Here is a 13,009-nt window from a genome sequence, read left to right on the forward strand (position 1 = left end):
CAAGCTAACTTGGAGGAAATTGCCCTCGTATTTAAGATTTAATACTAAAAATTTCACATTTGTAAAACTTTGGTTCTAAGACTTCCCATGCTCATAATCTACAAGACTGGCCCTTTTTGGTTAGATTTGCTACAAGAACCTGACAATAAAGACTGAGCTGACAAATCTATTGAATAAATTTATGCTGAGCTTCACTGTGTCAAATTTATATTTTAGCACCCTCTGCTGGAGAAACTATATACACTTCTGATAAATGCAGGTGATTTATGCCAATGTGATCATTCTGACTTGTGTCTTAAATATAGGATTTGGAGAATGTTATTTAAAATCTGTACTAAAAGAAGCCTCTCCTTTAAGCAAATGGCCTTCTGACAAACTATCCATGCACCAGTGGTATTTGTCTCCTGCAGATCCCCTAGAAAGACATATACATGCACATATAGTCATTAATGTGTGTATAGTTTACACATGGAAAAAGTAGAAATGGGCTTAATGAAAATGAGAAATTTGTAGGCCAGACGCGGTGGCTCACGCCTGTAATCCCAGCACTTTGGGAGGCCAAGGCAGGCGGATCACGAGGTCAGGAGATCGAGACCATCCTGGCTAACACAGTGAAACCCTTTCTCTACTAAAAATACAAAAATTAGCCGGGCATGGTGGCAGGCACCTGTAATCCCAGCTACTTGGGAGGCTGAGGCAGGAGAATGGCGTGAACTTGGGAGGCGGAGCTTGCAGTGAGCCAAGATCTTGCCACTGCACTCCAGCCTGAGGGCGACAGAGTGAGATTCCATCTCTAAAAAAAAAAAAAAAAGAAATAAGAAATTTGTAATACTATGCCTTTCTTCAACACAGCCTCCCCACCATATATTCTTGTGAGCAAGCACACTTATAGCCTCCAGTCTCTTCTGATTCATCTGCCAAATCTCAGTCCAAATTATGTCATTCCTACTCATTCATTCAGCAAACCATGTGACAGACAAAGTGTTAAGTGGTGGGAATCCCATTTTAAGCTAAACACATTATCTCCTATCTTAGTCTGTTTTATGCTCCTATAACTGAATACCACAGTTTGGGTCATTGATAAGGAAAAGAAATGTATTTTTTATGGCTCTGGAGGCTAGGGAGTTTAAGGTCAAGGGGCTGATCATCTGATAAGCGCTTTCTTGCTGTGTCACCCACAGTGGAAGCTGGAAGGGCAAGAGACCATGAGAGAGCAGAGGAAAGGGGGTCGAACTCATTTTATCTGGAACTCACTCCTAACCCACTCCCAAGGGAATGGCATTAATCTATTTATGAGGGCAGAGCCTCTATCACCTCTTAAAGGTCCCACCTCTTAATACTGTTACGGTGGCAATTAAATTTCAATGTGACTTTTGGAGGAGACATCCAAACCATAAAATATCTCTGTCTTTAGGGAGTTTATGGTCTTATTGGAGAACAGACTTTCACCAAATGAAGAGGTTAGTAAGTATTTAATTATGAACTGTAGGCCGGGCACGGTGGCTCACACCCTATAATCCCAGCACTTTGGGAGGCTGGGAGGCAGGTGTGGATCACTTGAGGTCAGGAGTTTGAGACCAACCTGACCAACATGGTGAAACCCGTCTCTTCTAAAAATACAAAAATTAGCTGAGTGTGATGGCATGTGCCTGTAATTCCAGCTACTCCGGAGGCTGAGGGACAAGAATTGCTTGAACCTGGGAGGCGGAGGTTGCAGTGAGCTGAGATTGCATCACTGCACTCCAGCTTGGGCAACAGAGGGAGACCCTGTCACAAAAAATAATTTAAAAAAAATTATGAACTGTGATATGTGTTTTGAAAGGGTACTCTATGTGAATATCTTAATTATATGAATATGTTAACCTAATTTAGCCAGCTAAGTTAGAAAGCAATATTTGGGCTGAGATGACCTGAACTTGGTGGACGGTGCTAACCAGCTGAAGAGAGGGGTAGGCTGGTGGAGGAGGAGCATTGCACACACAGAAAGCAGCAGGTGCACCACTCTGCATCCAGAAAGGATAAGTGAAAGACAAGGAAGATTCCATAGTAAGGAGATCAGGGGGAGTGTTGCTATTTTACTTTAGAAAGTGGGAGCTGGTAAAAAAAAGGCCGATGGAAGGCAGGGTAGATGGGATAGGCAGTACATTCTCAGCTCTGCATTTCAAAACAAAATTGCTCTTGCTGTGTTTGGGAGAAGAAATAACTGGTTGGATATAATAAGACTGGGTTCCCTTTACTCTACAATTGAACCTAGTGCCCAAGCATGACATGTAAGTTTCTCTAAGTGGGCTCTGTCTGTTTCTTCAATTTCATCCTCACGTGCTCTGTGATACTGATTGTTTCCTGAGAACGTGTACCATGCTCACTTGAAATGCCTTTTCTTTTTCTCACTTCTCCTTTCTCCATCTATGGAAATGCCATTTATTTATTTATTATTATTATTATTTTTGATACAGAGTCTCACTCCGTTGCCCAGACTGGAGTGCAGTGGCATGGTCTCAGTTCACTTCAACCTCCACCTCCCAGGCTCAAGCGATTCTCCTGCCTCAGCCTCCCGAGTAGCTGGGATTACAGGCACCCACCACCAGGCCCAGCTGATTTTTGTATTTTTATTAGAGACAGGGTTTCACCATGTTGGCCAGGCTGGTCTTGAACTCCTGACCTCAAGTGATCCACTAGCCTCGGCCTCCCAAAGTGCTGGGATTACAGGTGTGAGACACTGTACCCAGCTGGAAATGCCATTTATTCTTAAAATACCAATGCAAGACCACATCCTTTGGGAAGCTTTCTCTTTTTTCATCCCCACTCAACATGAATTCTGCTTCTACTTCTTCTATACTTCCATAACATAGCATCTGCATTTCTACATAAGACATCTCATACTTCTCTGCACCATGAGATTGTAAAAAATATAAAAGGGATAATGTCTTCTTTCCTCCCTCCGGCCTCCCCCCATCCCCGGTATTTCCTAGATCATTGCTTTGAACTCAGTAGTGCACTTTGAAGTGAAATTTATCATTACATTTCATTACACTATAAATTTCATTAGATCTCTCATAGTTCCAAATTAATAAGGATACATTCATACACACAAATACATGTAGAGGCACACTTCTAAGAACGGAATGGGCAAGAAGTTAATGCTTTGCTTGGGTTGAGAGAGAAAACACTAGAAAGTAGACAGAGAAAGGGAAGGGAGGTGGGAAGGAATAGGGAGGTGAGTTGGAGTGGGTAGGCAAATAGGTGAAAAGTGTGAGTAGTAAGTGAGGTGACCAGAGGATGACCATATAAATAACCATGCTGACATGGTTTGGCTGTGTTCCCACCCAAATCTCATCTTGAATTGTAGCTCCCGCAATTTCCACATGTTGTGGGAAGGACCTGGTGGGAGGTAATTGAATCACAGGGGTGGGTCTTTCCCTTACTATTCTCATGATAGTGAATAAGGCTCACAAGAGCTGATGGTTTTTTTTTTTTTCTTTTTTTTTGAGATGAAGCTTGGCTCTTGTTCCCCAACTGGAGTGCAGTGGCACAACCTCGGCTCACTGCAACCTCCGCCTCGGGTTCAAGCAATTCTCCTGCTTCAGATTCCTGAGTAGCTGTGATTACAGACACATGCCACCGTGCCTGGCTAATTTTTTGTATTTTTAGTAGAAATAGGGTTTCACCATGTTAGCCAGGCCGGTGTCGAACTCCTGACCTCGAATGATCCTCCCACCTCAGCCTCCCAAAGTGCTGGGCTTACAGGCATGAGCCACCATGCCTAGCCAGGATCTGATGGTTTTATAAAGGGGAATCTTCCTGCACAAGCCCTCTTCCTTGTCTGCCACCATGTGAGATGCACCTTTCACCTTCCACCATGATTGTGAGGCCTCTTCAGCCGTGTGGAACTGTGAGTCCATTAAACCTCTTTCTTTTGTAAATTGCCCAGTCTCAGGTATGTCTTTATAAGCTGCATGAAAACGAACTAATAGGCTGGGCGCCGTGGCTCACGCCTGTAATCCCAGCACTTTGGGAGGCCGAGGCGGGCGGATCACAAGGTCAGGAGACTGAGACTAGCTGAGACCAGCCTGGCTAACAGGGTGAAACCCCATCTCTACTTAAAATACAAAAACAAAATTAGCCGGGCGTGGTGGCGGGTGCCTGTAGTCCCAGCTACTTGGGAGGCTGAGGTGGGAGAATGGTGTGAACCCGGGAGGCAGAGCTTGCAGTAAGCCGAGATCACGCCACTGCCCTCCAGCCTGGGTGACAGAGCGAGACTCAAAAAAAAAAAAAAAAAAAGAAAATGAACTAATACACATGTTGATCTAAAGCTGAAGGCTTGCTTCAGACAACTTCTGTTTTTCTTACACATTTGCACTAAGGACTGGAAAAACAGATATGAAATAGGCATGAACAGATAAACTAGTTGGTGTGTGTGTATACATATGTGTATATCTACATATAGAGAGATAGATACACACATATGAATATCTCTCAAAATGTAAGACAAGATATAATGTGTACTCACTATTCTCTTTTGCCATTTTCTAGTTTGGGGGAAGTTCTATGAAATCTAAGTTGATGAACATTATTCCCCCTGCTGATACCAAAAGTCCTGACTTGTAAGGAGGACAAAGCTGAGGTCAGTGCATAACTATGAGCTGGGGATCTTGTGAAAACACGGATTCTGACTGAGTAGGCGTGGAGTGCAACCTGAGTTTCTGCTTCAGGTGGTGCCGATTCTGCCAGTCTGTGGCCCACACTTTGAATAGCAAGGGACTGGATGATTTCTGGTAATCCTTTTTAATTCTGTTGCAGTTGTTTTGCTTGAAAAACTTTCTACCTTTTGGAAGTATTCACCCATAAATCACTTATAGTTTAAACTATATAGTTTCAGGTGATAACAAAATAGGACATTTCAAGGCAATGAATTAAAAAGGTAAGTAACAGTATTAAATATAACCCAGAATTTTATATGAAATATAACCCAGAATTTTCTCTAAGGCAATAAAAACTTTCAAAGTAAGTGATAAGTGTGAGGATTGAATTTTTACGGATGCGCTTAAAATCCAGTGGACAAGCCATTGTTGAGTGAAGATTCAGTCCTCATCTCTCTTATTGGAAGATGAATGTGGGCTAGATCAGTAGATATCAAAGTTTTTGTTTGTGACCCACAGTGAGAAACATATTTTAGGTTATGATCTTGCACACAAATAAAAGTGTCACAAATAAAACAATATCAATATGTACTCTGATAACATTCATTCTATACAATCCTTTTTTTTTTTTTGAGCTGGAGTTTCGCTCTTATTGCCCAGGCTGGAGTGCAATAGTGCAATCTCGGCTCACTGCAACCTCCACCTCCCAGGTTCAAGCAATTCTCCCACCTCAGCCTTCCAAGTAGCTGGGATTACAGGCATGTGCCACCATGCCTGGCTTACTTTGTATTTTTAGTAGAGATGGGGTTTCTCCATGTTGGTCAGGCTGGTCTCAAACTCCTGATCTCAGGTGATTCACCTGCCTCGGCCTCCCAAAGTGCTGGGATTACAGGTGTGAGCCACTGCACCTAGCCTGCAATCTATTTTTTAAAATGCTTTTCACAAGTGAATGGCAGCCTGCAGTTTGCAAAACTGGAACTGGATGACCTTTTCAGCTTTCATCTTTTTTAAAAAAAAATCACAATTCATTGGCAAAATGTCATAAGACTGTATTGCATTTAGATTCCTAAAGCATTCATTTGTCTTTTTTTTTTGGGAGATGGCGTCTTGCTCTGTTGCCCGGGCTGGAGTGCAGTGGCACAATCTCGGCTCACTGCAATCTCCGCCTCCTGGGTTCAAGCAATTCTCCTGCCTCAGCCTCCCAAGTAGCTGGGACTACAGGTGCATGATGCCACGCCAGGCTAATTTTTTGTATTTTAGTAGAGACGGGGTTTCACCGTGTTGCCCAGGCTGGTCTCAAACTCCTGAGCTCAGGGAAACTGCTCACCTCGGCCTCTCAAAGTGCTAGGATTACAGGTGTTTTTATTGTGTGAAATGGAATATTGGAAAGTGGGATTCCAGGGTAACCTGGATGGCAGAAAAGACCTGCTTGCTATGTCTTCCAGGAGCACTTTTTATTATAGATACCACTTATTTTCCCCCTAATCTACAATATAACTACATGTTTGATCTCTGGAATTTTATAAAGGCAAGCTGGAGTATTTTTTCCCTCAAAACTACTTAACTCTCACTTAAGCAGGCAGTAGAGCAGCGTGGTTAAGAGCATGGACTGATGGCAGGCTGTCTGGTCAGCATCCTGGCCATCCCACATACTAGCTGTATAATTTTGGTCTACTTACTTAACCTTACATGCCTCACTTTCCTCATCTATAAAATGGGAATAATAATACTAGTTGAGTATCCCTTTTCCAAAATGCTTGGGACCAGAAGTATTTAGAATTTCAGATTTTTTTAAAATTTTGGAATATTTGCATATACATAATGAGATATCTTGGGGATGGGACCCAGGTCTAAACATAAAGTTATGTTTCATATATACCTCATACACATAGCTTGAAGGTAATTTTATACAACATTTTAAATAATTTCGTACATTAAACAAAGTTTGTGTACACAAGGTCAAGTGTGAAATTTTCTGCTTGTGGTGTTATATCAGTGCTCAAAACTTTTGGAATTTTGAATTAGGAATGGTCAGCCTGTAGTTCCTACCTAACAGAATTGAGGTGAAGATTGAATGAGTTAACATCGTAGACAAGTACAACAGGAATGTTATTAGCTACTGTTAGCTGGACTTAAATTACAATGTAAAGTTTGAGCCTAACTCCAATTTCATGACAAAGTAGAAGAGTAGTGTTATGTTAATAAGTACTTCTAAACCAGTGTCTTGATATTGAGCTACAATAAATATTAAGTCCAATAAAGGTGTTTTTGTTAATCCAAAATGCAATTTCCCCTCAGTCCTGATTCAAGCAGGCCTGCAATAACTTAGTTATCCAACTGATTAACATTCTAAAACTATACTGAGGGAAAAAACATTCTACCAGAAATTTACATTTTGTACTGGAAAATGAAGATCCAGTAAAATGTCACATTTCTGTAGGAATGTAACAATCAGGGCTTTTGTTGTTTAAATGGAAGGATGCAGGCTCCATTCTGTGTAACACCAAAGAAATATGACATGTTTGAGAAATTTTGTATTTTTTTGCATGGTGGCCTTACTTTCTTGTTGTTACTCATTTTTGGGGTGGGGGGAGGTCAGTGGAAAGTGCTTATAGAAGTTTAGAAAAAGTTAGATTCCGCTGCTAAAGGAAGGAAATACGGTATCCATTTTTTCAAATGTTCTACCTATTAAATTGTGAAAATAATAGTATAGATACCCTTTCAAAGTTCTAAATTGGTTAACTTTCCCCCCAAAAAACTAACAAGTGAACCTAAACAGCTACAATATAAACTTTTATAAACATGGCCTAGAACCAAATATTCTACCTGTCATAGGAATGATTACACCACAGAAGGAGGTGAGAATCAGTCATACTTGCCTTCTTGCTTATGACATGTCATTGCTGTCTGTGTAGGTAAAAATCTATTACTATAGTTAGTCGTCTAAATTGCCATAGGAAACTGGTGTGTGTTCAGTGCCTAACTGCAGCTTAACCACTTCTAAAACTTGAACCATAAATGCTTCATATGTATGTGGATTTTCATAACGTCAGAATGGGAGGAAGGCACAGAGTATTTAAGATAAAGGTATTTTTCCAAATAAGGTCTAAAAGGAAAACATGAACTCCCTCCTCTCCCTGGCTCCCTACTCCTGTTAGTCGTAAAGCTTGCCCAAACACATCCTCTCCTTCCCACCCTTCCACCCTCCCTGTGCCCTTGCCCAGGACTTCATTAGCCCACATTTGCATCTCTACAGCCTCCTATAGGCTGCCTTGAGGCCTGAGGCCTTTCCAGCATATCCTCAATACTACTGCTAGGCCTCATCTGTTAAAAATATTACTTTGGGCTTATCATCTTCTCTCTTTATACTCTCATCACTTCCTTGCTTTAACTTGCAGATGGCCACTTGAGTCCTGGCAGCTCTCCTGATTGCCCCTCATGCATACATACACTGGAACCTTCCCACTGAACTCCTGTATCCAGATGTTCCACCATCACACTCCAAATCCGGCCTGGCAAATGCCACCTTGCTCCTCTCCCCAAGTCAAAGATTTTAGGGCACTGACTTTCATTCAGTCACTCGAGCTAGCAATCTAGAAGTTATCGTTGGCTCTTCCCATGTCCTCAGCAGCACAGACAGCTCATAAGTCCTGGCCCCACTGGGTTGTGCCCATCTGCCTTCCTTACATTCATTTCTTGTGGCTTTTTGCCTAGATGAGTAGACTTTGCAATATAATGCTGTACATTGAGGACATAGAAAGAAAATATGAGAAAGTATATGTATTTATGTTAAAAGGTAAGAAATTAAGCTTTCTTAATATTTGCTATAAAGATAGACACTGGGTCCTCAATTTGTCTCTTATGTTCCATGTTCACATGTCAAATAGAATAATAGGAAGTATCCTGAGGGCATGGTAGGAATTCCACTGTCAGTGTGTCACTCTGTTTTGCTGTTTCCTTGCTATGAGTTGTTTTCAATGGGCCTAATTTTGTAAAAGCAAGATTTTAAAATAACAGGCCATCACTAAAATGGCCAGGCAAACCGTTTCTTACCACCAGGAGTTTTCCGGCTTTTTTCTTGGCAAAGTATTTAAAGATAAGTTACACATATTTTTTATTTCTTTTAGATGAAAGTGTCCTAAGTTAGATTCCTGGGAAGAAAATTCTGAGACACATTCTGCAGGATGATTATTAGGGCTCATCCTTGGTTTCAACACCCATAGAAGGAAGGGGGAAGAAGAAATCGAACAGAGAGACAGAAGTCGAGATGCATTTCAGGCCAGGACTCTTGGCTGAACCCACAGGAGCTCTGGAGCTAGAATGGCCCTTCAGAGTTGTCCTGAGTTGGTCTGAGATGGCCAGTTCTTTATATTCCTGCATGGGATAGTCACTGGATGTCCACCCCAGGAAGGGGTGTGGCCAAGACAGTCCCTAAAATGCCCGCCAGCACTCCCTACACCTGGAGCGACAAGACCAACATCACAGGGGGAATGCACTGGGTGATGGATCACAGCGTTCATCCCAGAAGATGAGGATACAGAATTGGCTGACAACTACGTTCTAAATGTCAGTGTTCTCCAAAATTCATATGTTGAAACTTAATTCCCAATGTGATGGCATTAGGAAGTGGGGCCTTTGGGGGAGGGACTATAGGTCATGAGGGTGTAACCCTCATCAATGGGATTAGTGTCCAGAGAGCTGCCTTGCCCTTCCACCATGTGAGGACATAGTGAGAAGGTGCCATCTATGAACTAGGAAGTGGGCGCTTACCACCAGACACCCACTCTTCTGGCAACTTGATCTTGAATTTCCCAGCCTCCAGAACTCTGAGAAATCAATTTCTGTTAATTATAAGCTACCCAGTCGATAGCATTTTGTTAAAGCTGCTGGAACTAAACTAAGACACTGACGCTTTCTGCGACAAAAAGATAGAGTGAGTCTCTATAGCATACCATGTAACAGATGTTTTTGGAAAAATAACCTCATTTCATATGTTTCCTCAAGATAAAAAGAATGTCATAACAACAAATGAGAAAATAGTTGCTTTAGAAATATTGCACCCTATGGAGAGAGTATTTTGGATTTTGGTTTTTTGTTTTGTTTTTTAACTTTTGTTTTAGGTTTGGGGGTACATATGCAGGTTTGTTATATAGGTAAACTCATGTCACAGGGGTTTGTTGTACAGATAATTTCCTCACCCAGGTACTAAGCCTAGTACCCAATAGTTGCTTTTTCTCCTCCTCTCTCTCCTCCCACCCTCCACCCTCAAATAGGCCCCAGTGTATGTTGTTCTCTTCATTATGTTCATGAAGTTGAGAGAGTGTTTTGAAAAAGAATGTTGGAAAGCATTTCCACTGTTAGATGATTTTAAGTCAAAAAGTTATACAACAGTGTGACCTATTTGCACACAAGCATGGACACAGAATTGTGTCATATGTTTAAAACTTTTCTAGATCCTTTTGTGGTTCATAAGCTTGATGATTGAGTTTTCGCGTCCACATGTGAGATGTGCCTCCCTTGAGCCTTGTCATTGGCACATTACCTGCCTGATGTGAACAATAAAAATAAAAAATAAAAATTTGCTAAGCAGAGTTTCTGTGGATTTCTAACTTATTTATAAAAACAATAAAAATGTAACATATTCCATTTAGTGTTCAAGAACAACTAAGTAACAGTAAAGATGGAAATTTGCTAGCCGAATTTCAAGAAAAATCTTTGTACAGTAAGTGGATGAGATTGAAAAAAATGTGTGTCACAATTCAAAAGTCAGTCAGAAGCCTGGATAACATAGTGAGCCTCTGCCTCCACAAAAATTAAAACTTAAAAAAATTAGCCTGTAGTCCTGGCTACTTGGGAGGTTGAGGTGGGAGGATCGCCTGAGCCCACGAGTTTGGGGCCATGGTGAGGCGTGATCACACCACTGCACTCCAGCCTGGGCAACAGAGCGAGACCCTGTCTAAAAAAAGAAAAGAAAAAGACAAAAGTCAGTCAGAGGGGCACTGCTTTCATTTGGAATTCTTCATCTTTTTGAGGTATTAAAGAAAAATGATTTCTCACCATACTGCTGACACCAAATGTGGGAGTGTGTGTCCACAAGACCCAATTCTCCAACCCTCTATACACAAACTGAGTGTCCTACAATTCATTTCCTTTTTTTTTTTTTTTTGAGATGGAGTCTCAATCTGTGGCCCAGGCTGGAGTGCAGTGGCACGATCTCAGTTCACTGCAAACTCTGCCTCTTGGGTTCAAATGATTCCCCTGCCTCAGCCTCCCGAGTAGATGGGATTACAGGTGCCCACCACCATGCCCAGCTAATTTTAGTGTTTTAGTAGAGACGGGGTTTTGCCATGTTGGCCAGGATGGTCTTGAACTCCTGACCTCCTGCCTTGGCCTCCTAAAGTACAGGCGTGAGCCACTGCACCCAGCCCTGCAATTCATTTCTGACACTAACTATCCAGAGTTAGTGCAGCCCCCACGGGTTATGGGTCCATTCCACAAGACTGTCCCCACTTCAGATTCCAGTGCCAGATCTGGGCCTCCTGTATGTCTGAACAATCAGCTATAAATCTGTACATCAGGGCTCTCCACCATCCTCTCCTCATGCTCCGTAAGTTGTTAGAACAGCTCACAGAACTCAGGGAAACATTTTACCTTCATTGACTGGTTTATTATAGAGAATATGATAGAAGATACAAATGAACAGCCAGATGAAGAGGTACATAGAGCGAGGTCCCAGGCACAGGAGCTTCTGTCCCCATGGAGTTGATATGCGCCAACCTCCCAGCACATGGTTGTACTCACCAACCCAGAAGCTTTCTGAATCTGGTAGTTTAGTGATTTAGTGGAGGCTTCATCATGGAAGCATGACTGATTATTAACTCAGTCACTAGTCCCTCTCTCTTCCCCAGAGGATGTGGGGTGGAGCTGAAAATTCCAAGCTTCTAATCATGGCTTGGTCTTTCTGGTGACCAGCTCCATTCAGGAGCTTCATTCAGCCAGTTGCCTGGCTAGAACAAAAGACATTCCCGTCGTCTTTTGGACATCCCAAGAATTTTCAAAGGATTTGGGACCTCTGTCTCAGGAACCAGAGTGTATTAGTCCATTCTCACATTGCTATAAAGAAATACCTGAGACTGGGTAATTTATAAAGAAAGGAGGTTTCGTTGGCTCACAGTTCTGCAGGCTGTCAGGAAGCATAGGGGCTTCTGCTCCTGGGGAGGCCTCAGGAAGCTTCCAATTATGAGGGAAGACAAAGGGGTAGTGAGGCATCTCACATGCCCGGAGCAGGAGCAAGACAGAGGGGAGACGCCACACACTTTTAAACAACCAGATCTTGAGAGGACTTATTATTGTGAGAACAGTACTAAGAGGATGGTGCTAAACCATTCGTGAGAAATCTGCCCCCATGGTCCAGTCACCTCCCACCAGGCCCCGCCCCCAACACTAAGGATTACAATTCGCCATGAGATTTGGGTGGGGACACAGACCCAAACCATATCACAGAGTTGAGGACCAAATATTAGAATAAAAGGTGCTCTTAGTACTCCTATTGCTCAGGAAACTACAAGAGTTTTAGGAGCTCTGTGTCAAGAACTGGAGACAGAGACCAAATATATATTTCTTATATGTCGTAGATATTTTTTAAAATTATGACAAATATTAAAATTAAGTATTAAGATAAAGTGAATATAGGTCATTGAACTGCTAAACCTCAAAGTATTAATCATTTTCAAAAGATTTTTTGAAGTAATGAAGAGTATTTGGTGATTGTTATGGATTGAATTATGTCTCACAGAAAGTTTAGTTGAAATCCTTATCCTCAGTTCCTATTTGGAAATAGGGTCATTGCAGATATAATTAGTTAAATTAAGATGAGGTCATAAGGTTTTTTTTTTTTTTTTTTTTTTTTTTGAGACAGAATTCCGCTCCTGTTTCCCAGGGTGGAGTGCAGTGGCGTGATCTCCGCTCACTGCACCCTCTGCCTCCCCGGTTCAAGCGATTCTCCTGCCTCAGCCTCCCAAGTAGCTGGAATTACAAGCAGCCACCACCACACCCGGCTAATTTTTGTATTTTTAGTAGAGATGGGGGTTTCACCCATTGGCCAGGCTGGTCTTGAACTCCTGACCTCAGGTGATCCATCTGCCTCAGCCTCCCAAAGTGCTGGGATTACAGGCGTGAGCTACTGTGCCCAGCCGGTAGGCCCTTATATGACTGGTGTCCCTATAACAAGAGGAGAGGGCAGATACACATAGAGGAGAGGACCAGGTAAGGAGGAGTCCAAGAGTACATTTATGTTGCCACTAGCCAGGGAACACCTGGGGCTATCCAACGCTGGTAGAGGCAAGGAAGAATCCTTTCCTAGAACCTTC

At 42.2% G+C, this 13,009-nt stretch overlaps 1 long non-coding RNA gene across 3 annotated transcripts in view; it reads left to right on the forward strand.

Moving 5' to 3' along the window:
• Positions 1 to 10,223, forward strand: part of ELOVL2-AS1 (ELOVL2 antisense RNA 1) — a 35,387-nt gene extending 25,164 nt beyond the window's left edge. For 2 of the 3 annotated variants that reach the window (NR_038963.1, NR_038962.1), the window contains exon 3: positions 8,768 to 10,223. This is a non-coding gene — a long non-coding RNA (ELOVL2 antisense RNA 1). Of the gene's footprint in view, positions 1 to 4,533; positions 4,625 to 8,767 lie in introns of all 3 variants that reach the window. The other variant, NR_038964.1, reaches the window with a different exon arrangement.
• Positions 10,224 to 13,009: the final 2,786 nt, after the last annotated feature.

Source organism: Homo sapiens, chromosome 6, assembly GCF_000001405.40.
Source record: "Homo sapiens chromosome 6, GRCh38.p14 Primary Assembly".
Lineage (NCBI taxonomy): Eukaryota > Metazoa > Chordata > Mammalia > Primates > Hominidae > Homo > Homo sapiens.